General features: G+C 36.2%; 1 protein-coding gene across 37 annotated transcripts in view; it reads right to left on the bottom strand.

Annotated features, from left to right (window-relative positions):
• Positions 1 to 27223, bottom strand: part of RHBDD1 (rhomboid domain containing 1) — a 199052-nt gene that overhangs the window by 64503 nt on the left and 107326 nt on the right. For 31 of the 37 annotated variants that reach the window (XR_007082541.1, NM_001349069.2, XM_047445998.1 and 28 more), the window contains 2 exons: positions 25830 to 25886; positions 20357 to 20500 (listed from right to left, as the gene is read on the bottom strand). Coding sequence is in view for 36 of the 37 variants with exons in the window: in NM_001349069.2 (NP_001335998.1) it covers positions 20357 to 20500; positions 25830 to 25886 (201 nt within the window). In the remaining variant the exon portion in view is untranslated. Of the gene's footprint in view, positions 1 to 3041; positions 10640 to 20356; positions 20501 to 25829; positions 25887 to 27223 lie in introns of those variants that run through there. The other 6 variants (XM_047446002.1, XM_047446001.1, XM_017005094.2 and 3 more) reach the window with 2 other exon arrangements.

The following is a 27223-nucleotide window of genomic DNA, read 5'->3' as shown; positions in this document are numbered from 1 at the left end:
TCTTGGATTCATTTATAAAAGCTGAGACTGCCAACAGAACAAGACAAGATTTTTGTTAGTAGTAGTAAATGTTCAAGCCCCTTGAAATAATATAAATTTCAATATTTCTTCTACAAAGGCAACTTAGGCATTATTATTCCTGGCATGATCTTTAGGACTTGTAATTATGGCCAGGTACTATTATGAAATACGATAATAGCAAATTCTGAGGTTAAAAGTTGCTAGCTACCTTGATTTTTCAATGTACCCTTACAATTTATTTAACTAAAGAAAAGTTTGAGAGGACAGTCATGCATCACTTAACCACAGGGATATGTTCTGAAAAAATGTGTCATTAGGCAATTTTGTCATTGTGCAGTCATTATAAAGTGTAGTTACACAAACCTACATGGCATAGCCTACTACACATATAGGCTATATGGTATAGCCTATTGCTCCTAGGCTACAAACCTCTATAGCATGTTTCTGTGGTGAATACCATAAGCAAGTGTAATGCAATGGTAAGTATTTGTGTATCTAAACATAGAAAAGGTATAATAAAAATATAGTTTTATAATGTTATGGGACCACTGTCACATATGTGGTCTGTTGCTGAGCGAAACATTATGTAATGCATGACTATAAATAGTACTGGATGTTTCTCTGGGGTACTGGCATTCTTTCTACCAAATGAGCTTGTTAGTGGGTCTTTTCAAAACTCAGTATTATTGGTAACTATTACATTAACTCCTTAGTCTAAAACCTTGGAATCCAAGAGAGATTTACCCAGACTTTTAAAAAGAAACTATAGTTTCTATCTATTTCATGATGGAAAAATCCTCTTTATGTAAGAAAACAAAATTGATAAATAGTATGCAAGAAATGATAATTCAAACCCCAGTGAAGAATAAGGAATGCTCCTAGCTTCCTCTTGGGATGTAGAAAGCTGGAAAGGGCATCACTTTCATCCTTATAAAAAACATAAATGCTACATAATCCTTAAATTAACTTGTTTTTTTTAATTGGGCAGCCTCCCAAGCCAGAGTAGGCTCAGAGAGACTACCTAATAACTTTTCTTGAACCCATCAAAGACCTGAGGTAGCAGATCAGCCAACTAAACAAATATAAATCTAAAATGACACATGAGCACTTCCTCACCTAGGACAGTCTCTGCTGGACACCAGTGAAAAAATTTCGGCCAAATTGTAAGAAGATTGGTAAAGGCTGACTGTAAGCCAGCAAGGGAACCCAGAATCCCCGGAGGGCTATGATATAAAGAAATTCACACCCACTTTCAGGTTTTCTCAGAACCTCATCTGGTCTCACAAGAGAGACTAGGGAGAGTCCAGAGAAAGCATCCTTTATCACTATGGTACAGTCCTGTGGGAAAAGAACAGCACCCACTCCAGGAAATGTATGAAAGGCTGCCCAGATCCTTCTCCCCTAGATAGCCTATGGAATAATGCCTTACATGCCTGAAAGAAGAGCAAAAACCACTGAGAGGGTTTGGATGTGCCCCCACCCAAATCTCATCTTGAATTGTAATCCTCATAATCCCCACACGGTGGTAATTAGATCACAGGGGCGGTTTCTTCCATGCTGTTCTCGTGATAGTGAGTGAGGTCTCATGAGATCTGATGGTTTTATAAGCCTCTGGCATTTCCCCTGCTTGCACTTACTCTGTCCTGCCACCCTGCGAAGAACGTGCCTGCTTCTCCTTTGCCTTCCACCATGATTGTAAGCTTCTTGAGGCCTCCCCAGCAATGTGGAACTGTGAGTCAATTAAACCTCTTTTCTTTATAAATTACTCTGTCTCAGGTATTTCTTCATAGCAGTGTGAGAACGGACTAGCAGAACCACCATTTCCCTTGGGGAGCTAGTGAAAACATATGGCAACTTTAAGAAGGGAAAAGGAAGAAAAATAAAACATACCCTCTAAATCCGGGGGAGGGGCAAGAACACTGAGAAGGCCATACTGCCAAACCCAGGGGCACAGTAACTGCTTAAGACTAAGGCTTAATCAGGACATACCCATAACTTGCCTCTCACCACCAGACTACAAAGCATAGAGCAACAAGTAATTGCACTATACTACCGGGAGAGGGACAAGGGAGTGGAAGGAGAACCTATCCGAGTCACAGCACAAAACGAGGACCTGAAACTGAAGTTCAAGCAGATACCGAGAAAAACCCTCTGGTAAATCATGCCCATCCTTAAAATAAGGTGATGGTAAAGGAATTTGAAGTCTTTGATGTGTCCAGAGTAACTATTGCAACAATAGGTATTCAGTATTACTCATAATTATCACAGGTAATTCAAAATACTAACAGAATTCATTAAATCGAGGAGACAATCAGTAGGGATACAGAAGTCCTAGAAAAAACTATCAGCTAAGTTCATCTAAATAACATTTAAATAGAACATTCTATCCAACAACAGCAGAATACACATTCTTTTCAGGTGCACGTGGCATTTTTACCAGGATGAAGTGTAATACAGCACAACCAGGTGAGATTTATCCTGGGAATGCAAAACTGCTTTGGCTTTGAAAATCAAAGTAATATAGTATGCTAATAAAAAAGAAAAACTATATAATCGTCTCAACAGATAGAGAAAATATTTTTAAAATAGCAAACCTCATCCTACAAAAAAACATAAAATACTTAGGTATAAATCTAAGAAAACATATGGAGGATCTGCATGTTCGAAACTATAAAACACTGGTCAAAGAAATCAAAGAAGACCTAAGTACATGGAGAAATATACCATATTCATGGATTGAAAAACTCATTGTTGTTAAGATGTTAATTTTTCCCAAACTGATCTATAAAGTCAAAATCTTGGGATTTTTTTTTTCAGTAGATATCAACAAGCTTCTTCTGAAATTCATGCAGAAAGGCAAAAGATCTAGAATACCCAAAGTAATTTTAAAAAAGAACTAAGAGGATCCATGCTATCTGATTCCAGGATTGATTATACAGCAAAAGAAATCAAATCATTTAGTATTGGTGAAGGACAGATTTCCACATAGATCAATGAAAAAAATACAGAAAGTCCAGAAATAGATTTTCAATTTTTTTTATTTCAGTAGCTTTAGGGGTACAAGTAATTTTTAGTTACATGGATGAATTGTATAGTGGTGAAGTCTGAGATTTTAGTGCACTCATCACCCAAGTAGTGTACATTGTATCCAATATGTAGGCTTTTTAATCTCTCACCCCTTTCTCACCCTTTCCCCTTCTGAGTCTCAAAAGTCTGTTAAACCACTCTGTATGTCTTTGCATACTCATAGTTTAGCTCCCACTTATAAGTGAGAACATATGGTATTTGGTTTTCTATTCCTGAGTTATTAATACTTAGAATATTGGCCTCCAGCAGCCCCATCTAAGTTGCTGCAAAAGACATTATTTCATTCTTTTTTATGGCTGAGTAGCATTCCATGGTGTATATATATCACATTTTCTTTACTCATTGGTTGATGGACACTTGTTTCCGTATCTTTGCAACTGTTAACTATGCTGCAATAAACATATGCATGCAGGTGTGCATAATGACTTCTTTTGATATAATGACTTTTCCTTTGAGTAGATAATCAGTGGTGGGAATGCTGAATCAAATGGAAGATCTACATTTAGTTCTTTGAAGAATCTCTGTACTGTTTTCCATAGAGGTAACTAATTTACATTCCTACCATCAGTGTATAAGCATTCCCTTTTCCCCACATTCACACTAACATCTATTGCTTTTTGACTTTTTAGTAATGGCCACTCCAGTTGGGGTAAGGTAGTATCTCATATTGTGGTTTGAATTTGCATTTCCCTGATGATTAGTGATGTTAAGCATTTTTTTCATACGTTTCTTGGTCATTTGTATGTATTATTTTGAGGAATGTCTATTCATGTCATTTGCCCAGTTTTTGACAGGTTTATTTTTTTTTCTTGTTGATTTGTTCGAATTCATTGTAGATTCTGGATATTAGTCCTTTGTCAGATACATAATTTGCAAATATTTCCTCCCATTCTGTGGGTTGTATTTTACTCTGATAATTATTTCTTTTGCCATGCAGAAACTTAATTTAACTGGCTCCCATTTATTTATTTTTGTTTTTGTTGCATTTGCTTTTGGGGTCTTAGTCATAAATTCTTTGCCTAGGCCAATGTCCAGGGAAGTTTTTCCTAGGTTTTCTTCTAGAATTCTTATGGTTTCAGGTCTTAAGATTTAAGTCTCTAATTGATTTTAATTTTTTATATGGTGAGAGATAGGGATAGTTTCATATTCTGCATGTGGCTGTTTTCCCAGCACCATTTATTGAATAGGGTGTCCATTCCTCAATTAATGTTTAAGTTTTGTTGAAGATCAGCTGGTTTTAAGTATTTGGCTTTATTTCTGGGTTCTCTATTCTGTTCCATTGGTCTTTGTATCGACTTTTACAGCAGTACCATGCTGTTTTAGTTACTACATCCTTGTAGTGTAATTTGAAGTCAGGTAATGTGATGCCTCTGGATTGTTCTTTTTGCTTCGGACTGCTTTGGCATTCAGGCTCTTTTTTGGTTCCATATGAATTTTTGGGTTATTTTTTACATTTCTGTGAAAAACAGTGTTAGTATCTTGATAGGAATTGCATTGAATATGCAGATTGCTTTAGGCATTATGGTCATTTTCATGATATTGATTCTTCCAATACCTGAACATGGGACATACATTTGTTTGTTTGTATCATCTATGATTTATTTGAGTAGTATTTTATAGTTTTCCTTGTAGAGACCTCCTTTGTTAAGTTTATCCCCAGTTTGTTTTGTTTTGTTTTGTTTTTTGTTTTGTTTGTTTGCAGCTATCATAAAAGGGGTTGAGTTTTGGATTTGATTCTCAGCTTAGTGGCTGTTGGTGTGTAGCAGTGCTACTGATTTGTATACATTAGTTTTATAACCTAAGACTTTACTGAATTCATTTATAAAATCTAGGAAGTCTTTTGGAGTCGTCTTTTGGGTTTTCCAAGCATACAATCATATCATCAGCAAACAGAGACATTTTGACTCTCTCTAATTTGAACGTCCTTTCTTTTTCTTGCCTGACTGCTCTAGCTAGGACTTCCAGTAATGTGTTGAATAGAGTGGTGAAAGCGGGCATCCTTATCTTGTTCCAGTTCTTAGAGGGAATTCTTTTCACCTTTTCTCCCATTCAGTATGATATTGGCTGTAAGTCTGTCACAGATAGCTTTTATTTTGTTGAGGTATATTCCTTCGATTCCTAGTTTGTTGACATTTTTTATCATAAATGGATGCTGGACTTTAGCAAATGCTTTTTATGCATCAATTGAGATGATCATATGGTTTTTGTTTTTAATTCTGTTTGTGTGATGAATCACATTTATTGACTTGTGAATGTTGAACCATTCCTGCTACCCTGGGATGACACTCATTTGTTCATGGTAAATTATTGTTTGGATGTGCTGTTGGATTCAGTTTGCTAGCATTTTGTTGAGAGTTTTTGCATCTACGTTCATCAGAGATATTTGTCTGTATTTTTATTCTTTTGTTATGTCCTTTTGTGGCTTTGGTGTCATGGTGATACCGGCTTCATAGAATGAATTAGGGACGATTCCCTCTTTCTCAGTCTTTTGGAATAGTTTCAGTAGGACTGGTACCAATTCTTTGAATGTCTGGTAGAATTTGGCTGTGAATCTGTCTGGCACTGGGTTTTTTTTGTTGGCAATTTAAAAAATTATGGATTCAATCTCACTGGTTGTTATTGGTCTGTTCAGGATTTCTATTTCTTGCTGATTAAAGCTAGGAGGGTTGTATATTTCCAGGGATTTATCCATTTCCTCTAGATTTTCTAGTTTGTATGCATAGAGGTGTTCACAGTAATCTCAAATGGTCTTTTGTATTTCTGTGGTGATGGTTGTAGTGTCTCCATTTTCATTTCTAATTCAGCTTATTTGAATCTTCTCTCTTCTTTTCATGGTTAAGATAGCTAACGGTCTATGATTTTGTTTATCTTTTCAAAGAGCCAACTTTCTGTTTCATGATCTTTTTTGTTGTTGTTGTTGTTGCAATTTCTGTTAATTCTGCTCTGATCTTTGTTATTTTTTTTCTTCTTCTAGCTTTAGGTTTAGTTGGTTCTCATTTCTCTACTTCCTTGACGTGTGACATTAGATTGTCAATTTGTGATCTTTCAGACTTTCTGATGTAGGCATTTAGCCCTATAAAGTTTCCTCTTAGCACTGCTTTTGCTGTATCCCAGAGGTTTTGATATCTTGTGTCACTATTATCATTTATCTTGAAGAATTATTTAATTTCCATCTTGATATCATTGTTAACCCAAAAATCATAAAGGAGCAGATTTGCTTAATTTCCATGTATTTATATGGTTTTGTGGATTCCTTTTAGAACTGATTTCTAGTTTTACTCTGCAATGGTCTGAGAAGATATCTGATATGACTTCAAGTTTTTTACATTTTCAGAAATAGACTGATGTAAACATATTCAATTGTTATTTGAAAAAAGTACAAAGGCAATTCATTGGAGAACTGATAGTCATTTTTACAAATGGTGCTGAAATATTTGGAAGTCCACAAGCAAAAAACAAACTTTGGTTCATACCTCACATCTTATATAAAAACTAACTCAAAATGGGCTATATATCTAAATGTAAATTTTAAGACCATGGAACTCCTAAAAGAAAATGTAGCAGAAAATCATGGTCTTGGGTTACATCAAAAGATTCTTAGATACAACACTAAATGCTTGACACATTGATAAATTGTGCTTCATCAAAATTATAAACTTTTGTGCCACAAAAGATACTTTTAAGAGAATGGGGGAAAAAGCCACAGACTCAGGGAAAATATTTGCAAATCACCTATCTTATGAAGCGCTTTTATTCAGAATATATAAAGAATTCCCTAAACTCAAAGATAAGAAAACAAACAATCCAATTAAAAGTAGACAAAATAATGGAACAGAAACTTCAGCAAAGAAGATATATAGGTAGTCGATAAACAGAAACATCATTAGTCATTAGAGAAATATAAATGAAAACTGCAACCTCACGCCTATTTGAATGGCTAAGATAAAAACAACTGAAAATACCAAATGCTGGGAGAACCGAGAGCAACTGGAACTCTCATATACTGCCGGCAGGAACGAAAACTGGTACAAACACTTAGGAAAACAGGCAGATTCTTATAAAGTTAAACATAAATTTACCATATATAATCCAGAAACCCTACTCCTATGTGCTTACCTAGGTGACATGAAAACTTATATTTACACAAATTCCGGTACGTAAATTTTTATAGCAGCTTTATTCATAAATGTCAAACCTGGAATCAACCCAAATATCCTTCAACTGGTGAAAGGATTAAAACAAAAAAACAAAAAAACAAAAAAAAACTTCTGGTATATCTATACACTAGAGTATAATTCAACCATAAAAGAAAAAAAATTATCAATATAGTTAATAGAAAGAGATGAATAACAAATAAACTTTGCTCAGGGAAAGAAGTACGACCTCTCAAAGCTAAATACTGTGTGATTTCATTTATATGACATGCTGGAAAAAGCAAAGTTAAGGAGATGGAGAAGAGAACAGTGCTTGTTGAGGATTAAGGGTCAGAGTAGGTTGACTACAAAGGGAGAGTGATGGGTAATTTTCTGGAGTGATACAACTGTGCTGTATCTAGATTGTTATGATAAACCACTCTATACTTCTGTCAAAGCTCACATAAGTGTACACCACACGGAGTAAATTTCACTATAAATTTTAAAGAAATAAAAATATTAACAAGGAACCCAAAGAAATAACTGATAGGTGATCAGTTTTTATACAGAAGTGCATAATACAAGACTAATATTTAGCCTTGTAAAAAAAGATCACCAAAGACTACAAAAACCATTACTTGAAAGGTTTTCAAGTAATTTTTAGGAAACAGGATATTCATATGGTGACATAGTATCACTTCATGTGGAACTTGCAAACAGCAAAGGGAAAAATGTACCTTTGCAACAGAGAGACTTGTCAGTCACTTTCTGAAACTAGTAACCAGGTATTAGTGGTATGGCTTGACACAGTGTATCTCCTGACCTGATGCAATCTGAAGAACACAGTGTTACCTATGACATTTTCTTGCTAAAAATGTGTAACCCAAATCCAATTAATCAAGTCCTCAAATGTAAGTGCCAATATATACAGAAATACACAGAACTAACTATTTAAATACACCACAAAGAAATAATAAGACACCTACCATTCAATGAGACTGGTGTCCTGAAAAATTAAATCATAAAAAGGGCACGGTATGGTTTTTATATTAAAAAGAAATAATCAAATGCAACATCAGAACCTTGAAAACCTGACTATAAAACATACTCTTTGAGAAAATTAGAAAATTTCATATTTGGACTAAATGGTAGGTGTTACTAGGGAATTCCTGCTAATTTTCTTTGATGTGGCCATGATGTTGTAGATAAGTAGCACAATGGCCCTTATTTTTTTTTTTTTTTTATTTACTTAGTAGACACGGGGTTTCACTGTGTTAGCCAGGATGGTCTCGATCTCCTGACATCATGATCCACCCGCCTCGGCCTCCCAAAGTGCTGGGATTACAGGCGTGAGCCATTGCACCTGGCCAATGGCCCTTATTTTTCAAAAGATACACATTGAAGGATTTAGAGGCAAAGTAACAGGATGTCTCCAACCTGTCAGAGGGTTCAGCCCAAACAATTCTAGTTTCTCTCTTCTATCCTCCCTCCCTCTCCTCCTCTTCCCTTTCCCCTCTGAAACACACACACACAAACACACAAACTCTACATTCAAATAAATTTGGGAAATACTGCAAACCATACCTCCTTGAATATCCACAATGACACTGGTATGCTACTTATGATTCTAATTAGCTCTGCAATTAAGAAACCAATTAATTACATATTTCCCAAGCTTATTTGACCACAGAATTTTATTTTGAATGAATGTTTTGAACAGCACACGAAACTAGTTTCAAGGAAACAGGTCTAAAAAGACTCTTGAAGTGCCTTATACAGTAACTAACAATGGCAAAGGAAGCAGCTTTATAAAAATTTATATTAATTTGAATTTTATTTTCCTTTGAAACCATTGTAATTGTCTAAGTGTAAGAATCAAGAAGACATTTGTCAAAGGCCGTTTTCATTTTTTTTTCCTAAGGAAAAATATTTGGTTTGAGTTGGCTTATTTTATAAATTTCTGGCCATATGGTACATACTATTTTGTGCCTTACGTTTTTTCATTCAGCAATTATGTTGTAATCATATTTTCATGCCACTAAATTTTTCAAAAATGTTATTTTTAATAGATGCCTAATATTTCCATTTTACAATGAAACCACAACTGATTTAACCCTTGCACACATTGTTGTGCAAATTTCAATGTATTTAAGTTTTTGTTACTAAATTTAATTAGGGAATCAGTAACTTAAAAACAAATATTGGACCATCTCTCTATTATTTCCTCAGGCTAGATTCCTAGTCAAGGAATCACTGAAGGTAAGCCTCTTGATTATACATTTCCAATGTGTTTTCCAGAAAGGTTATACCAATTTGCATTCATATCAGCAGCATATAGAAATGTCTGTTATCACTACCAACATTAAATGTGGTGAGATGGAGGGAGGTGGAGCAAAACGGCCAAATAGAAAGCTTTACAGATCATCCTTCCCAGAGGAACACCAAACTGAAGAACTATCTGCAGAAAAAATCACCTTCATAAGAACCAAAGATCATGTGAGTGATCACAGTACCTGGTTTTAACTTCACAACACTGAAAGAGGCACTGAAGGGAGAAGGAAAGATAGTCTTGAATTGCCAATGCCACTCCTCATCCATCCCCTGGTAGCATAGACAGAGAATCTGTGTACTTGGGGGAGGGAGAGCACAGTGATTGTGGACATCCCATTGGAACTCAGCACTGCCAGAAAGCAAAACTGGGCAGAACTTAGCCAGCACCCAGGGAGTGAGCATTTAGACCCGCCTAGGCCAGAGGGGAATTGCCCATCCCAGTGGTCAGAACCTGAGTTCCATCAGGCCCTGACACCATGGGCAAAAGTGCTCTGGGGTCCTAAATAAACTTGAAAGGTAGTCTGAGTCACAAGAACTGCAATTCTTGGGTAAGCTCTGGTGCTGTGCTGGGCTCAGAGCCAGTGGACCTGGGGGACATGCCTTCCAGTGAGACATCAGCCGGGACAGCCAAGTCAGTGCTTGTGTTACCCCTCTCCCAACCTCAGGCACTGCAACTCGCAGCTCTGGAAGAGACTATTTCCCAGTGCTTGAGGAGAGAAAACGGAAGAGTAAAGACAAATTTGTTTTGCGACTTGGATACCAGCTCAGCCACAGTAGGATAGGGTACCGAGCAGAGTCCTGAGGCCCCTATTCCAGGCTCTAGTTACCAGACATCATTTCTAGACGCACCCTGGCCAGAAGAAAACCTTCTGCCTTGAAGAGAAAGACTCAATCCTAGCAGGATTCATCACCTGCTGACTAAAGGGCTCTAGGGACCTGAATAGGCCACTGTGGTAAACAGGCAGTACTTACCCCATGGTATCTGGGTGAGACTCAGAGACATGCTGGCTTCAGGTTTGACCCAAGCACATTCCCAATATGGTGGCTTTGGGGAGAGACTCCTTCTGCTTAAGGAAAGAAGTGAGGAAAGTAAAGGGAACTTTGTCTTGCAGCTTAGGTACCAGCTTGGCCACAGCAGGGTAGAGCATCAGGCAGGCTCTTGGGGTACCTGATTCCAGGCCTTGGCTCTTGGAAAGCATTTCTGGACCTGAGCTGGGCCAGAGGGGACCCCACTTCCCTGAAGGGAGAGATTCCCATTAAACAAATTTGGCAAAGAGATTGAAATAATTAAAACAAATCAAGAAGAAATTCTGGAGTTGAAAAATGTAATTGACATACTGAAGAATGCATCACAATTGACCAAGCAGAAGAAAGAATTAATGACCCTGAAGACAGGCTATTTGAAAACACACAGTGAGAGGAGACAAAAGGAATGAAGCACACCTTCAATATCTAGAAAATAGCCCTAAAAGTGCAAATCAAACTGTTACTGGCCTGAAAGAGGATGGAGAGAGAGAGGGATAGAAGTAGAAAGTTTATTCAAAAGGATAATAACAGAACTTTCCAAACCTAGAGAAAGATGTCAATATTCAAGTACAAGACAGTTACAGAACATCAAACAGATTTGACCCAAATAAGACTACCTCAAGACATTTAATAATCAAACTCCCAAAAGTCAAGGAAAAAGAAAGGATACTAAAAACAGCAAGAGAAAAGAAACAAATAACATACAATGGAGTTCCAGTAGTTCTGACAGCGGACTTCAGTGGAAACCTTACAGGCAAGGAGAGAATGGCATGATATATTTAAAGTGCTGAAGGGGAAAAAAAAATTTATCCTATAATAGTATATCCAGCGAAAATATCCTTCAAACATGAAGGCAAAATAAAAAATTTCCCAAGAAAAGCTGAGAGATTTCATCAATGCCAGACATGTCCTACAAGAAATGCTAAAGGGAGTTCTTCAATCTGAAAGAAAAGGATGTTAATGAGCAATAAAAAATCATCTGAAGGTACAAATTCACTGGTAATAGTAAGCCACAGAAAAACAGAATAAAAGGACACACTGTAATTGTGGTGTGTAAACTATTCATATCTTGAGTAGAAAGACTATAAGATGAACCAATCAAAAATAATAACTACAACAATTTTTCAAACGTAAACAGTATAATAAAATATAAGTAGAAACAAAAGCTAAAAACCAGGGGGACAAAGTTAAAGTGTAGAGTTTTTATTCATTTTCTCTTTGCTTGCTTGCTTGCTTGTTTGTTTATGCAATCAGTGTTAAGTTATCAGTTTAAAAAAAGGTCATATTAATTTCAAGCCTCATGGTAATCAGAAATCAAAAAATATACAACAGATACACAAAAAATAAAAAGCAAGAAATTAAAACATACCTCCAGAGAACATCACTCACTAAAAGGAAGGCAGGAAGGAAGGGAAGAGGAAAGGGAAGACCACAAAACAACCAGAAAACAAATAACAAAATGGTAGGAGTAAATCTTTACTAAACAATAATAGCATTAAATGAAAAAAGACTAAATGACACAGAATAGAATGAATATAAGGTCCAATGATCTGTTGCCTACAAGAAACACATTTCACCTATAGAGAATGAAAATACATATAGAGGCTGGGCACAGTGGCTCTCACCTGTAATCCCAGCCCTTTGGGAGGCCGAGGTGGGCGGATCACAAGGTCAGGAGATCGAGACCATCCTGGCTAACACAGTGAAACCCCGTCTCTACTAAAAATACAAAAAATTAGCCGGGCGTGGCAGCAGGCACCTGTAGTCCCAGCTACTCGGGAGGCTGAGGCAGGAGAATGGCGTGAACCCGGGAGGTGGAACTTACAGTGAGCCGAGATCACACCACTGCACTCCAGCCTGGGCGACAGAGTGAGACTCCGTCTCAAAAAAAAAAAAAAAAAAAAAAAGGAAAAAGATACTTAATTCCAGTGGAAACCAGTAAAGAACAGGAGTAGCTATGCTTATATCAGACAAAACAGATTTGAAGATAAAAACTATAAAAAGAGACAAAGAAGGTAATTATATTATGATAAAGGGGTCAGTCAATTCAGTAAGAGGATATATTAATTATAATTATATATGCATCTAACACGGGAGCACCCAGATATATAAAGCAAATATTATTAGAGCTTAAGAGATCGATCGATCCCAATACAATAATAGCTGCAGACTTCAACACCCCAGTTTTAGCAATGGAAAAGTGTTCCAGAAAGATGCTCAACAAAGAAACATAACACTTAATCTGCACTATAGACTAAATGGACCTAATAGATATTTACAGAACATTTCATCCAACAGCTGCAGAACACACATTCTTTTCCTCAGTACATGAATCATTCTCAAGGATAGACTATATGTTAGGCCACAAAAAAGTATATTAAAAAGTTGAAAAAAACTGAAATTATATCAAGTATCATCTCTGACCACAATGGAATAAGATTAGAAATCACTAAAAAGAGGAATTTTGGAAACTAGACAAATACATGGAAATTGAACAATATGTTCCTAAATGACCAGTGGGTTAATGAGGAAATTAAGAAGGAAATTCAAAAATTTCTTGAAGCAAATGATAATACAAACACAACATTCTGAAACCTATGGGATACAGTGAAAGCAGGACTAAGAGGGAAGTTTATAGCAATAGGCGCCTGTATCTAAAAGGTAGAAAAACTTCAAATAACATAATGATTCATCTTAAACCACTGGAAAAGCAAGAGCTAACAAAACGAAAAAATAGTAGAAGAAAAGAAGTAATAAAGAGTAGAACTAAATGAAACGAAAAAAACAATACAAAAGATTCATGACAAAAAGTTGTTCTTTGGAAAACATAAACAAAATCAACACACCTTTAGTCAGGCTAAGAAAAAAGAGAGAAGACCCAAATAAAAATGAGATTAAAAGTAGACATTAAAACCTATTCTACAGAAATTCAAAGGACTGTTAAAGGCTACTATGAGCAACTGTATGCCAATAAATTGGAAAACCTAGAAGAAATGAATAAATTCCTAGACACACACAATTTACCAAGATTAAACCATGAAGAAACCCAAAACCTAAACAAACCAATAAAAAGTAATGAGATTGGTGCCATAATAAAAAATTTCCCAGCAAAGAAAAACCCTGGACCCAATGGCTTCACTGCTAAATTTTACCAAACATTTAAAAAGGAATGAATACCAATCCAACACAAACTATTTTGAAAAACAGAGGCAGAGGGAATACTTCCACACTAATTCTATGAGGCCAGTATTATCCTGATACCAAAACCAGACAAAGATATCAAAGAAAACCACAGGCCAATATCCCTGATGAACATTGATGCAAAGATAATAGCAAATTGAATTCAACATATTAAAAAGATCATTCATTATGACCATTTGGGATTTATCCCAGTGATGCAAGGATGGTTTAACATAAGCAGATCAATCAATGTGGTACACTATATCAACAGATACAAAACCATATGGTCATTTCAACTGATGCTGAAAAAGCACTTGATAAAATTCAACATTCCTTCATGACAAAAAACCCTAAAAAATGAGCATAGAAGGAATACACCTCAACACAATAAAAGTCACATATGACAGACCCACAGCTAGTATCATGTTGAAAGGGGAAAAACAGAAAGCCTTTCCTCTAAGATGTGGAATATAACAAAGATGCACACTTTCACCACTGTTATTCAACATAGTACTGAAAGTCCTAGCTAGAGCAATCAGCCAAGACAAATAAATAAAGGGCATACAAATTGGAAAGGAAGAAGCCAAATTATCTTTGTTTGCAGGTGGTATGGATCTTATATTTGGAAAAACCCACCAAAAAACTATTAAAAGTGATATATAAATTCAGGAAAGTTGCAGGATATAAAATCAACATACAAAAGTCAGCAGCATTTCAATATGCTAACAGCAAACAATCTGAAAAGCCAAGAAAGTAATCCCATTTAAAATAGCTACAAGTAAATACAAGTATTTATTTACAAGTTTTTATTTATTTATTTATTTATTTAAATACAAATATTTAAAATAGCTACAAGTAAAATAAAATGCCTAGGAATTAACTTAATCAAAGAAGTCAAAGATATCTACAATGAAAACTATAAAATATTGATGAAAACATTGAAGCAGACACAAAAAGTGGAAACATATTCCGTGTTCATGGATTGGAAGACTCAATATTGTTAAAATGTCCATACTACCCAAAGCAAACTACAGATTCAATGCAACCCCTATCAAAATACCAATGACATTCTTCACAGAAATAGAAAAAGTAATTGTAATATTTACATGGGACCACAGAAGACCAAGAATAGCCAAAGCTATCCCGAGCAGAAAGAAGCAAACTGGAAGGATCACATAACCCCACTTTGAATTATACTACAAAGCTATAATAACCAAAAGACCATGGTACTGGCATAAAACCAGACACATAGATCAGTGGAAGAGAACAGAGAACCCAGAAACAAATCCATACATTTATGTTGATCTCATTTTCAAAAAAGGTGCCAAGAGAATACACTGGGGGAAAGGACAGTCTCTTCAATAAATACTCCTGAGGGAACTGGATATCCATATGCAGAAGAATGAAACTAGACCCCTATCTCTCACCATATACAAAAATCAATTTGAAATGGATTAAAGACTTACATCTAAGACCTCAAACTATGAGTCTACTAAAAGAAAATGTTGGGGAATCTCTCCAGGACATTGGATTGGCAAAGATTTATTGAGTAATACTCCACAAGCACAGGTCAAAAAGCAAAAATCAGCAAATGGGATCACACCATGTTAAAAGCCTTCTTTACAGGAAAGGAAACAATCAACAAAGTGAAGAGACAACTCACAGAATGGGAGAAAATATGTGCAAACTATCCATCTGACAAGAGGCTAATAACAAGAATATATAAGGAGTTCAAATAGCTGCTTACATATTGGATAAAACCTAATAATCTAATTTTTAAACTGTGCAAAAGATCTGAATAGACATTTCCCAAAAGAAGGCATACAAATGGCAAAAAGGCATATGAAAAGGTTCTCAATATCACTGATCCTCAGAGAAATGGCAAATCAAAACTACAATGAAACATCATTTCACTCCAGTTAAAATGGCTTTTATGCAAGAGACAGGCAATAACAAATGCTTGCGAGGATATGGAGAAAAGGGAACCCTTGTACACTTTTGGTGTGAATGTAAATTAGTACAACCACTATGGAGAACAGTTTGGAAGTTCCACAGAAAACTAAATGTAGAGCTACCATATGATCCAGCAATTCTACTGCTAGGTATATGCCCAAAAGAAAGGAAATAATTATATCAAAGAGATATCTATATTCCCATGTTTACTGTAGCACTATTCATAGTAGCCAAGATTTGGGAGCAACCTAAGTATCCATCAACAGATGAATGGATAAAGAAAATGTAGTACTTATACACAATAGAATACTATTCATCCATTAAACAAAATGAGATCTTGTCATTTGCAACAACGTAGATGGAACTGGAGGTTACTGTGTTAAGTAAAATAAGCCAGGCACAGAAAGACAAATTTTGCATGTTCTTATTTATTTGTGGGAGCTATAAATTAAAACAAACTCATGGAGATAGAGAGTGAAAAGACGGTTACCAGATGCTGGGGTGGAGGATGAGCAGAAATGAAGATGGTTAATGGGTACAAAAAATAATTAGAATGAGTAAGATCTAGTATTTAATAGCACAACAGCGTGATGAGAGTCAACAATTTTTTTTTGTACATTTAAAAATAACTAAAAGAGTAGAACTGGATTGTTTGTAACACAAAGAAAGGACAAATGCTTGAGGTGATGGATACTCCATTTACCCTGATGTATTATACACTGCATGCCTGTATTAAAATTCTCATGTACCCCATAAATATATACACCTGCTATGTATCCACAAAAATTAAAAATTAAAAAAAATAAATGTAGTGAGATGAACAAACTAACTCTTTGCTAATATACAGCAAATTATTTTTAGATGCACACTGGTCACTTATAAGTCTTTGGATTATATGTTAAAATTATTTTCTATTTTCCTAATAGGAGTTAGTATTAATTACTTCATTGCATGAGTTTACATGCTGATTATATTAATTCTTTGTCAAAGTTTTCAATGGTCTATCTTCCACAATTTTTTCATTACTTTTCTGTTTAGAAAGTCCTATATTCAAAAATCATCAATTAACTATTAACTTTTATGATTTCTTTTCTTTTTAAAATTATTTATTTTTATATTTCATTCACCGTAATTCAAAATCCTAACCAAGGCCACTCTGTTTAAGATGTACCAAGTGGCCATTTGAGAGACAAACAAGTTCTACATACTTTTGTGATTTTTCATGAATGGAAAGAAGAGACTGTTTTAAATTCTGAAAATACATGTGTAGGAGGAAGGAAAAAAAGGGAAGAAAAAAACCTATGATTTTGTTAAAATAAAAGGTCAGATAGCAAAAGTAATTCAGCACAAACTCTGGATCATTTAGTCTTAGCAATCTTCTACTGTGAGGAGTTTTAGAACGTAACTCCATACTCACAAAGTAGAAGCTAGATTTTTTCAAACCAAGCAACTAGTTAGACAGAGGTAGAAACAAAACCCTTGGCTTCAAAATAATCCCAGAAATACTCTTCTCACCAAGCGAGTCTTATAGCATCTGATGTGTAAAAATCTTTTTTTTAAAGTAAAAATTATTCATTTCTTAACTGAAATGTTTTAAGGGTAAGAAGAAAAAATATAAAATAATTTAAAATAGGGGTAGTAAAACATTTTAAGTTGTTTCTATTTCTGTTCAGTATACTCTCGAGTTATTTTTACAAGAAGTTTTTTTAAGAATAAGATTTAAATTTATGAAAAATCAACACTACTATCAGATGACTTTCTGAAATCTCTGAAGGTAGCCTGTGTCTTTTTTTCTTTTTGCCTGTTAGTATATATTTCAATACCATTTACTGTTAAACAGGAAAAATTAATATTAATGACTTATATTAACTTAATAATAAATATATTCTTCATTAAGGAAACATCTCAAAAATCTACTCCAACTTTCTTCTGATTCCCAAAATGTAAGCCCTTCCTTTGTACCTAGATTCAAGTCTATAAAATTGCTCCAAAATCACCAGGGCCATCAGAGGGTGCTTTCATCTGCAGATCTTCCATGCTCATGTCTCTGAGCCCAAATTACTGAGGGAAGTCATTATTTTCTTTCTCTTTCAAAAAAGACACCTGTACTACTAGTACTAACTTCCTGTATAATTACTGATGGGGGCATATAGCAACCCTTTAGAAACAAAACTACAAAAGGTAAGCTTGTCTTCTTGCATTTCCTTTCTCTTACTACATTTAACATGGGAGGTTTTCTATGTCTCACATTCAAATATTCTCACTCGGGCTGCCTAATTTTTCCCTGATTTTCCATCACTCTTTATGAAGGCTTGCTACTTTAGAATACACATTTTCTTAACAGAAGATAATAATCAGAAGATGTCTCCCAAATATAAGTCCAAATCTTTCCTATCATGCTGTGTTCTTTGGCTCTTTTGACTTTATTTGAAGTCAGCCTTGAAGGGGATAGAGATAGGCTGTATGAAGTCCACGCTGAGAAGTTTTGCCCTGCCCTACTTGTCCTGTAATATTTCATGGATAGCCCAGTGGTGATTAAACCTGTGTGTACAGGAATAACCATGAGAATTTGTTAAAAATATAGGCTCTGGGGCCCTTTCCCCAGATTTCAGGATTCCATAGCTAAGGCATGCTTTTGAATGACTGTGATACTGGCAGTCCACTGACTATATGTGATACAGCGATTACAAAAATGGCTACAATTCTCCACCTCTCCCTCTATCCATAACCATTGCATGTGACTTTGCGGTTCCTCCAAGAGGTGGAGACTATCTCCCTATCCCATGAATCTGAGCTGGTCTTGTTACCTGCTTCAGTAACAGTATACAGAATACAGTGGAACTGACATTGTGCCAGCATAAGACTTGTTTATTTCTGCACTCTCCTGTAAACCTTATGCTGTGGCCTGGTGAATAAGCCCAGGCTAGCCTGCTGGCTGAGGAATGAGGCATGGCGTAACACCACCATTAGTCAGGCAGGCATGTAGAAGAAGCCATCTTAGAGCAGCCAGACCCCAGCAGACCAGCGCAGACACCTTAGCTCGCTAGCCAAAATCAGCTAAGCCCAGCCCAGCTGCTTCACATACTCATGAGCAAGAACAAATGTTTACTGTTTTAATCCACGAGTTTCAGGGTGATTCTTAACACAGTGATAGATTACTGATACATCATCACAGTTCTGAAACTCTTCACCTGAGAAATACAGATTTATGCCTTCTTCTCCACCTTCATAATTTAGGCTTTCCTTTCTTGTTCAGGTTACTGCAATATAGTCTTCCAACTTGTCTCCCGCTTGTTGTCATTCCCCACCTCCATGCACACTGTTGCTACTAAGACTATATTCCTTAAAGTCAGAAATTATATTGTCATAATTTATGTACTCTCATCACCTAGCATAATGCTTGGTACCTGATTGGTGCTCAATCTTCTTCGCAGAATGACTGCTACTACCAGATTCTTTTAACAGAGCTCTGACCACATCAGTGTCCCATGCAGAGCTCTACTGGCATTTATACCACACACTAAATCCACTTTCCACTTGGTCTATTTAATTCTAGGACCCCTGCGATCCGGACCCAGCCTAGCTTCCCACTCTTCTTCCCTTTCTTCTCTTATTGTCCATTCAAAAGTGAGGGCTGGCAGAACATGACCCTAACTTCTATGCTGATATTCAGACTTCTGCAGAGAATGCCCGTCCACAGCTCTTCAAGTTCTACACATTCTTGAAGGTCCAACTCAAATGCTATCTCCTCTGTGAAAATCTGATAGTTCTAGGTATGAAAAAGCTCACCATCTTCTCCCTACGTCTAACACTTAGCTTGAGCCTCTCTTAGTCACCTGATGCTAGGGTTACCTGTGTGGTATCACATCTAGTAGGCATATGCCCAAACACAGATTGTTAACTTTTTGAGGGTAGTTTCCAACTTTTACCACTCAGTGTTCCCTATTGTACCTACCATTGTACATGAAACATAAAACTTTAACAAATGCCCTTTAAATGAACAGTTGATTTTTAGTCGCTACTCAAACAATAAAAACAGTAATACCCAAACTCATAATCCAAACCTAGAACAAACATGGCAAAATATATACAGTGTTTTTTCAGATATCGGTTTATAAAAGAATCTCCTGGAAAGCCTGTTCAAAACACAAATTTCTAGGCTCTACCCCCAGACAGATTGGTTCAGCAGAAGTCAAATCTGAGCTTGAATTCTTAGCCTATGTGATGCTGAGGGAGATTTGTCGGAGGTTTATGGGCAATATTTTGATACTTAGTGACACTGAGCCTTCTTTACAAATATGAATTCCAAAGAAAATCTCTCTTTTTTTTATCATGCATCTAAGAATTTTAAGTTTCTTGACTTTAATGCCAAAGCATCAAGTACAGCAGGACTATAAAAAGAACCACTTTAACAATACATACACAGTCTGGCACCTTATTAGCTTAGGTTGCTGGGAATATGGCATCACACCCCATTCTTTGTAATCACAATCTGCACACAGTTTTCATCTACATATCCTTTTTCTGAACTGTTTAAAATTTAATTTGCTACAAATAGCTCTTTTTCAGACTACCTTACCACATGAGGTATGCTTTAAAATAACTGAAGGGCGCAAGACTCCTACCTCGGTCCCAGAGGCTGGCTTGTAATGCTCTCTCGAGCTGTTCTTCTTCACTCAGTCCTGCTGTGTACGTGTCATAGTTCCTGGGTGCTTCTTCATAGTGATCTGGCCTGCCATGCGGATAATAATCCTGATATCCAGAGCTGCCTAAAGGCACAAGGAAAAGGTTCTAGAACACAGCTATGGACTGTTGTTTTATACTTCCTGTTTTGTATAAGCAAAGACAAGCGAGTAAGGCATAACATTATTTTAGGTATAATAATTATCCTCAAAATAAGAAAAGATGCCAAATGGTGATTGTCTTGTTACTGTATCCTCAGTGCCCACCATGGGGCTGAACATGAATGAGTCCTTATGTGCTAATGAGGAAAGGAGATATTAATTCAGAGGGTAGTCAGAAGTCCTGGGGAAGAGACTGGAATGAGCTATTGACATATGGAGTGGATTCTTTCAGCTTAGAGCTATTCAATACTTGGAGAGTTTTCAGTGAAGTCCTGGCTTGAGTCAAGAGAATGGTGGAAACAATAGCTAATAAAGCCTTATTGTCTTGTTGCTCTGTACAATAAGGGGCAGACCAATGTTTCATACAGATCCCACAGAATACTTCAGACAATACCAACATTAAGATGCAGCCAATTTCTCTGTAATTGTAATTCTATGTCAGAGATTATAGCTCCCCCCCAAAAAAAGGTTTCTAGATAAAACAAGAAAGAAGAGACGACTTCAAAAAAAAATGGTTGCTAGATAAAACAAGAGAGAAGAGATAACCTAGTCATTAAATAATGCTTTAGGTACCAAACTTAGGTACACCATTAATAAAGGTCAATAACAGGGAAAAGTTCATTTTTGGAAGATATTTCCATTGATCTTTTCAGTTTGAGTTTATTCCTTACATTTCCTTTAACTGCCAATAGTTAGAGAATTTGTTTGGAAGAGATTTTTGTTCCCCACAGAAGGTTACCAATCTCATTCTGGCATAAAGAGAGAGAAGTAAAATAGTCTGTTTGATTTTTTCTCTTCTTTCCTGCCATTATTATATTCTTTGAAGTTGATGTTTCAAATATTTAAATAATGTGGTTTGGGTTGTTGATGAAGATTCCTAACCTTTGCTATGAGTCTTTGTGACAGATCTCCATATTATCCCACAGAGTACAGCAGTACAGGCCTGAGTTGGAGCTTTAATAAGGCTACAGAAAAAAAACACAATCCAGCCAAAAGAGGAACACTGAATGGCAGAATTGCATTAATTGAGATTTCATGCTCAGAATTTTTGATAGTTGGTCCTGAGGCTATTTTAAAATTTACTGTTGTATTCTTTATGAATATTTTCCTAATATGCAGGATTAAAAGGGAAACTGTAAATCAGCACTCTAGTAGACTTCATTTTCATATAAACAACGAATGACAAAACACACTAGTTTTTTATATAAATATTGGTCATGAAAAGTAGTTGTGTCTATTGATATTTTTAGAACAGCTTTATTGATATATAATTGACATCCATACAATTTATCAACTTAAAGTGTACAACTCAGTGGTTTTTAGTATATTTTAGAGTTGCACCATCATTACCACAATCAATTTTGGACATTTTCATCATCCCCAAAAAGAAATCTGTACTCTTTAGCTAACAATCCTCACCCTCCCATCCCTTCTCCAGCTCTAAGTAAGCACTAATCTACTTTCTGTCTCTACAGAATATGCCTATTCTGGATAGCTCATATAAACAAAATCATGTAATATGTGGCATTTTGTGTCTAGCTTATTTCACTTAGTATATTTTCCAGGTTCATCAATTTTGTTACATTTATCGGTACTTCATTCTTTTTTATGGGCAAATAATATTCCACTGTATGGCTTATACCACATTTTGTTTATCCATGTGTCAACTGATAGACATTTGTATTATTTCTACCTTTTGACTGTTATGAATAATGCTGCTATAAACATTTGTGAGCAAGTTTTTAGGTGGACATATGGTTTCATTTCTTTTGAGTATATACCTAAAAGTGGAACTGCTGCGTCACATGGCGATTCTGTTTAACTATCTGAGGAATCGCCAGAATGTTTTCCAAAGTAGCTGTACCATTTTCTATTCCTACAAGCAGTGTATGTGGGTTCCAATTTCTCCACATCCTCACTAACACTTGCTATTATTTGCCTTTTTATTCACAAACATCCTAGGGCATATGAAGTGGTATCTCACTGTGGTTTTGATGACTAATAATGCTGAGTGTCTTTTTATGTGCTTATTGGCCATGTGTGTATCTTCTTAGAGAAATGTCTAGCCAGATCTTTTGTCCATTCTCAGTGATTGTGAAAAAACTCTTCTAACTTGATTCTATTTTACTGAACGTCCTTGAAAGTAAAAGAAAAAGGAATGATTTAAATAAACATTAAATAAAATGGTTTAGGATTTTGGAGACTAATTCTGAAAAGCTTTGCCCCAGTGCAGTAAATATTAATGAGGATTTACTAAATACCTCCAATAACCCAACTTTCATATTTTCTCTCACCTGTTTCCCATGTCAAAATATTAACATTATTGATATTTAGAACAGGAGAAGGAGACAAGTACATTTTCCAAATCCTCACAATGGCTTAAAACTGAACTTGGATCTTACCATTTTAAATATGAACATTTATTCTTAAACTGGTCTCTATCCAATAGAATCAGAAAAATTTAGCCCCCATTGCTGCACTGGGGAACACCCAACCAGCCAGTTTCAGACCTTGAGAGTAAAGGAGACTGTGGTAGTGTTTTTACACATCTTACTTTTCATTCCTTATTAAAAAAAAAAAAAAAAAAAAAAGAACTTTCACATGAGGACAAATGGTAAAAACATAATTAATACATCTTTTCCACAAAGAATCAAAGAAAGTGGCAACCATTCTGCAACACTAATAGAATATTTATAGAGACGTCACTGAATAGCATGGGATGCTTCAGCAATCCCTGCTTAGAGAAACTGCCCAATTCCCTATGAATGCCAATTATTTTACTGGAATACAAAAAGTATATTGGGTAATTTCCCACATGGCTCATTATCACTTTCAAACCCATGTGGAAAGCCATTCTGTTATGTAAGATCTACGCAGCATTTCTACCTATCCACCCCCAAAAATGCTCAGTTAATTCAAAAGCCAAAATAACCCAAGGTCTCTGAATATTTGCTCACCACATAGAAACTGTATATCTACCTAGAGTTTTAATTGCCAGATACACATGCGATGATTTGAGGCAACATTTTCTTGATGTAGAAAAACATTTTTATTCATGCTATTTCTTATTTTAAAATAATCTGGCAGTTCTTCAATGAAATAAAGTCAACAACTCTAAACATCTGAATATTATAAAAACAAATTTGGTACTTGTCAGACAAAATATGGGGAAAGAAAATGGGAAAGTTTTGGTGCCTTAAATCAGAAAGACCAGTGTGGCTAAACGTTCTATATCGTCAATCATAGATCATCAACAGGACCCAAAATCTCATCAGTATCTATTATAATGAGAACAGATCTCCTCCCGTAGGACCAAAAATTTTCTATGGATGTTTCACTGGCCCAATCAGATGTTTTAAAATCTTCATAATAAACATTCCTGGAAAAACCTAGCAATCAAACAATTAAGATAAATAAATTTAAATTATGTCCTGAGAGGAATACTAGTTTAATTTTTTTTTTTTAGTTATATACTTAGGCTCTGTAGTAAAAGAAAATCTGGTTGTCATTATTCTATTAACTACTCCATCTGTTCCTTATACACATACCAGGATTTCATGGCAAAGGAGATCAAGAAACACCACCAAGATTAGAAAAATTGGTAACAGCTTTTTAAATATTCATGCGGTTCTTTGACCTATAAAGACTTTTCCAGCTAAGGACAGCCATATTAAGAATAAATCATTACTTGTAAGATATACATATGCTCTCATAAAAGTTCCCTAGATGACCATTAGCATAGCCACCTGGCCTTAAGTAGCTCTGCCTTTGAAGAAATCCAATCACTTCAGAGAAAGGCATATAACTATAGTAATTTTACAGAGGTTAAAAGAGGTAAAAAGGGCTTTTTATTATTTTTGCCCTTAATTCTCTGGTCTGTGTGACTGTGCTTCTTCCACATAAGAAGGAAAGAAGCTGTTCTCTTCAGTCCTCTTTTTTAAAAAATAGAAAATAAATCGAGTGCAAAAGAGAGAGAAGACAGTAAGTAGAACTGCCCTATTTTGTAAGGTTAAATTGGCAGAGTGTCAATCTCATATCCTTACACAGTAGAAAAGGCAGGAGCTAGGAATAAGATTCTATTGGAACACACCTATACCCACTTGTTTACATATTGTCTCTGGCAGCTTTCATGCTACAAGGACAGGTTAGTTCCAGCAGAGATTATATGGCCAATAAAGCCCTTGATGCCTGAAATATTATCTGTCCGGTCCTTTAAAGAAAAGGCTGCTAGTCTCAGCTTTAAGCTATAGTGGTCCTCAATTAATATAAACAGAAACACATCTTAGTCCATTTGGGATGCTATAACAAACAGCCATAGACTGGCTGGCTTAAGCAATAGAAATTTGTCACAATCTGGAGGCTGGAAGCTTGCGATGCCAGTGTGGTCAGTTCTGGTGACGACCCTCTTCCAGGTTGCAGACTGCTGACTTCTTGTATCCTCATGTGGCAGTGAGGAAGCTAGAGAGCTCTCTGAGGTCGCTTTTATAGGGACATTAATCCCATTCATGAGGGCCCTACCCTCATGACCTAATTTTTTCCCCAAACTCCTACCCTACTAAAATCATCACATTAGGGGTTAGGGTTTCAACGTATGAATTTGGGGACGGGCACATTCAGTTCACTGCATTAAGACATGAGTGTTCCAATGGCCATGGCTAACACCTGGCTGCTGGGCCTGATCTAAAATACTACCGTGTAGCCACCCCAGACTGGAATGCAAAGGCTTTAGCCTAAAATAGGTCTTACGCTTTTAACAGGAAGTCTTTTCTATCTATTTACACAGATACTTAGAAAAATACATTCTTCCTCATTAAGTCACATGGCATTTGTTAGAGGCATGCCTATTTTAGCATCTGACGGTATGCAAGGGTTCCTGAATATACACAGGATGGGCCATGGAGAACTATACACCTAAAACCAACTTTTAACACTTTCCCAGCAGTAGAGTCTCAGACTGAGACTTAAAGAACCAAGGTCTAATATGAATCTTATCACACATGAGAGACCTCATACCAATCATACCATGTTTTCATGCCTGAGTTACCTCCTTCCCTGGCCTTCCCTACCAACCCCCACAAATATGCTCCCTAGGCTACCCTCCATCTAGCTTCCAGGTGTGTTAGAGGCACAGTTACACAACATGTGAATGACCCTACCACAGCAGAAACTAGTAGTATCCTAAAGTACTCTGTAGAGCTGAACACTATAATTTTAAAAATAAGTTAAAATTTATTAAATGAAATACAGTGCCTACCTGAACTATTAAAGTAGTATTGCCGTCCTGGGTAACCAACACTGGAGGAAAAACCGCCTAAACGTAAAAGAAATAAACATTTTAATGGCAGCCATAAAGCTTTAAATGCTAATTGTTCCAGTAATTAGAAAGTTCTCTGGACAAAGCCCAAGGTCATTTCAAATGATTTCTAAACACTTATTAAAATAAACTCCCTTTTGTTTGGGGGCCAGCCCTAACTGGAAAAGAGTGTGTGTGTGTCCCTACAGGGAAAAGAATGTGTGTGTGTGTGTGTGTGTGTGTGTGTGTGTGTGTGTAGTGGAAAATGAAACCCTAATTTACACTCACTGAAGTTCCTTAGTCTTTGCCTGCCAAAGTACCAAGCCTCGGCTTTGATGTCTCTGTACAAGCAGAGACACTCTGGCTAAATGGAGAACCTTCCTCAAAGAAGGTGTTAGGAGAGCCATCCTCCCTACCCTTCCTAGGGGACTTCACTCTTTCTTGTCCCTACAGAAGGCAGTAGGACTGTCTACTCAGTCAATTTGGCACGGCTGAATGAAATGAGAGAGGGAGGGCCAAGGGCCACACCCTCAGGGTGACCCTCCTCTTCCAGGAGGCATCAGACAGCAGCTTCCACATGCTGGGTCGTTTTCCATGGGGTTCCTGTGTCCTTCAATTCTCAGCTCACAGAAAAAAGGCCGAGTTCGCAGGCTATTTGCAAATTGCACTGAGTGTTCTAATTTTCCTATTTAATTTGCTATTGTATTTATTACTTTGAAAATGGAGTGGTGTAGAAATAAGTCACCACTTATTTTTTAAGGCTTTTAAAACTAAGAGTTTAAATATTATAATTAGGGGAAAATCCTCTTTAAAAATTAAACAAAGCACTTGCTTAAATTTCATAACATGTCTGCAAAAAGCTTTACTAACCGCTTCATCATGAGACACAGAAAAAAGAAACAAGACATTAAACTCCCGAGAATCATCTCTTTTATCAGTACTAATGAGTATTAAATTGTATTGAAAATACAATAAAACTGGACATTTTCAATAAATGAAGCTCCCACTGCCTCCTCTAAGTACGTACAGTGGAAACACATTAATAAGCAAACGTGGGAAAATGAGGATCTGCTTAAATGCAACACAGCCTGTAAAAATCAACCAAAAGTGAACACGACCTGCTAATAAAGGTGCCAGTGCAGTGCCTGGAAAGCTTTCTACTATCATGAATATTATATGGTTCTCAAGAATACCAGTCATCAGCACAAACTGTGAAACAAATTATTTATGGTTCAAGAAAAGGTAAAATAGTCTCAGAAGACTTCCCATGAATAAAAGATGAAATAGTGGAACTCAGTCTATAAAACAAGTGTTTGCAAACCAGTTTTCTTACAAGTCAAAATGAGAATCGCATT

The sequence above is a fragment of the Homo sapiens genome, chromosome 2 (genome assembly GCF_000001405.40).
Source record: "Homo sapiens chromosome 2, GRCh38.p14 Primary Assembly".
Classification (NCBI taxonomy): domain Eukaryota; kingdom Metazoa; phylum Chordata; class Mammalia; order Primates; family Hominidae; genus Homo; species Homo sapiens.
The sequence above is the reverse complement of the archived record's forward strand: the minus strand, read 5'-3'. Positions and strand labels throughout refer to the sequence as shown.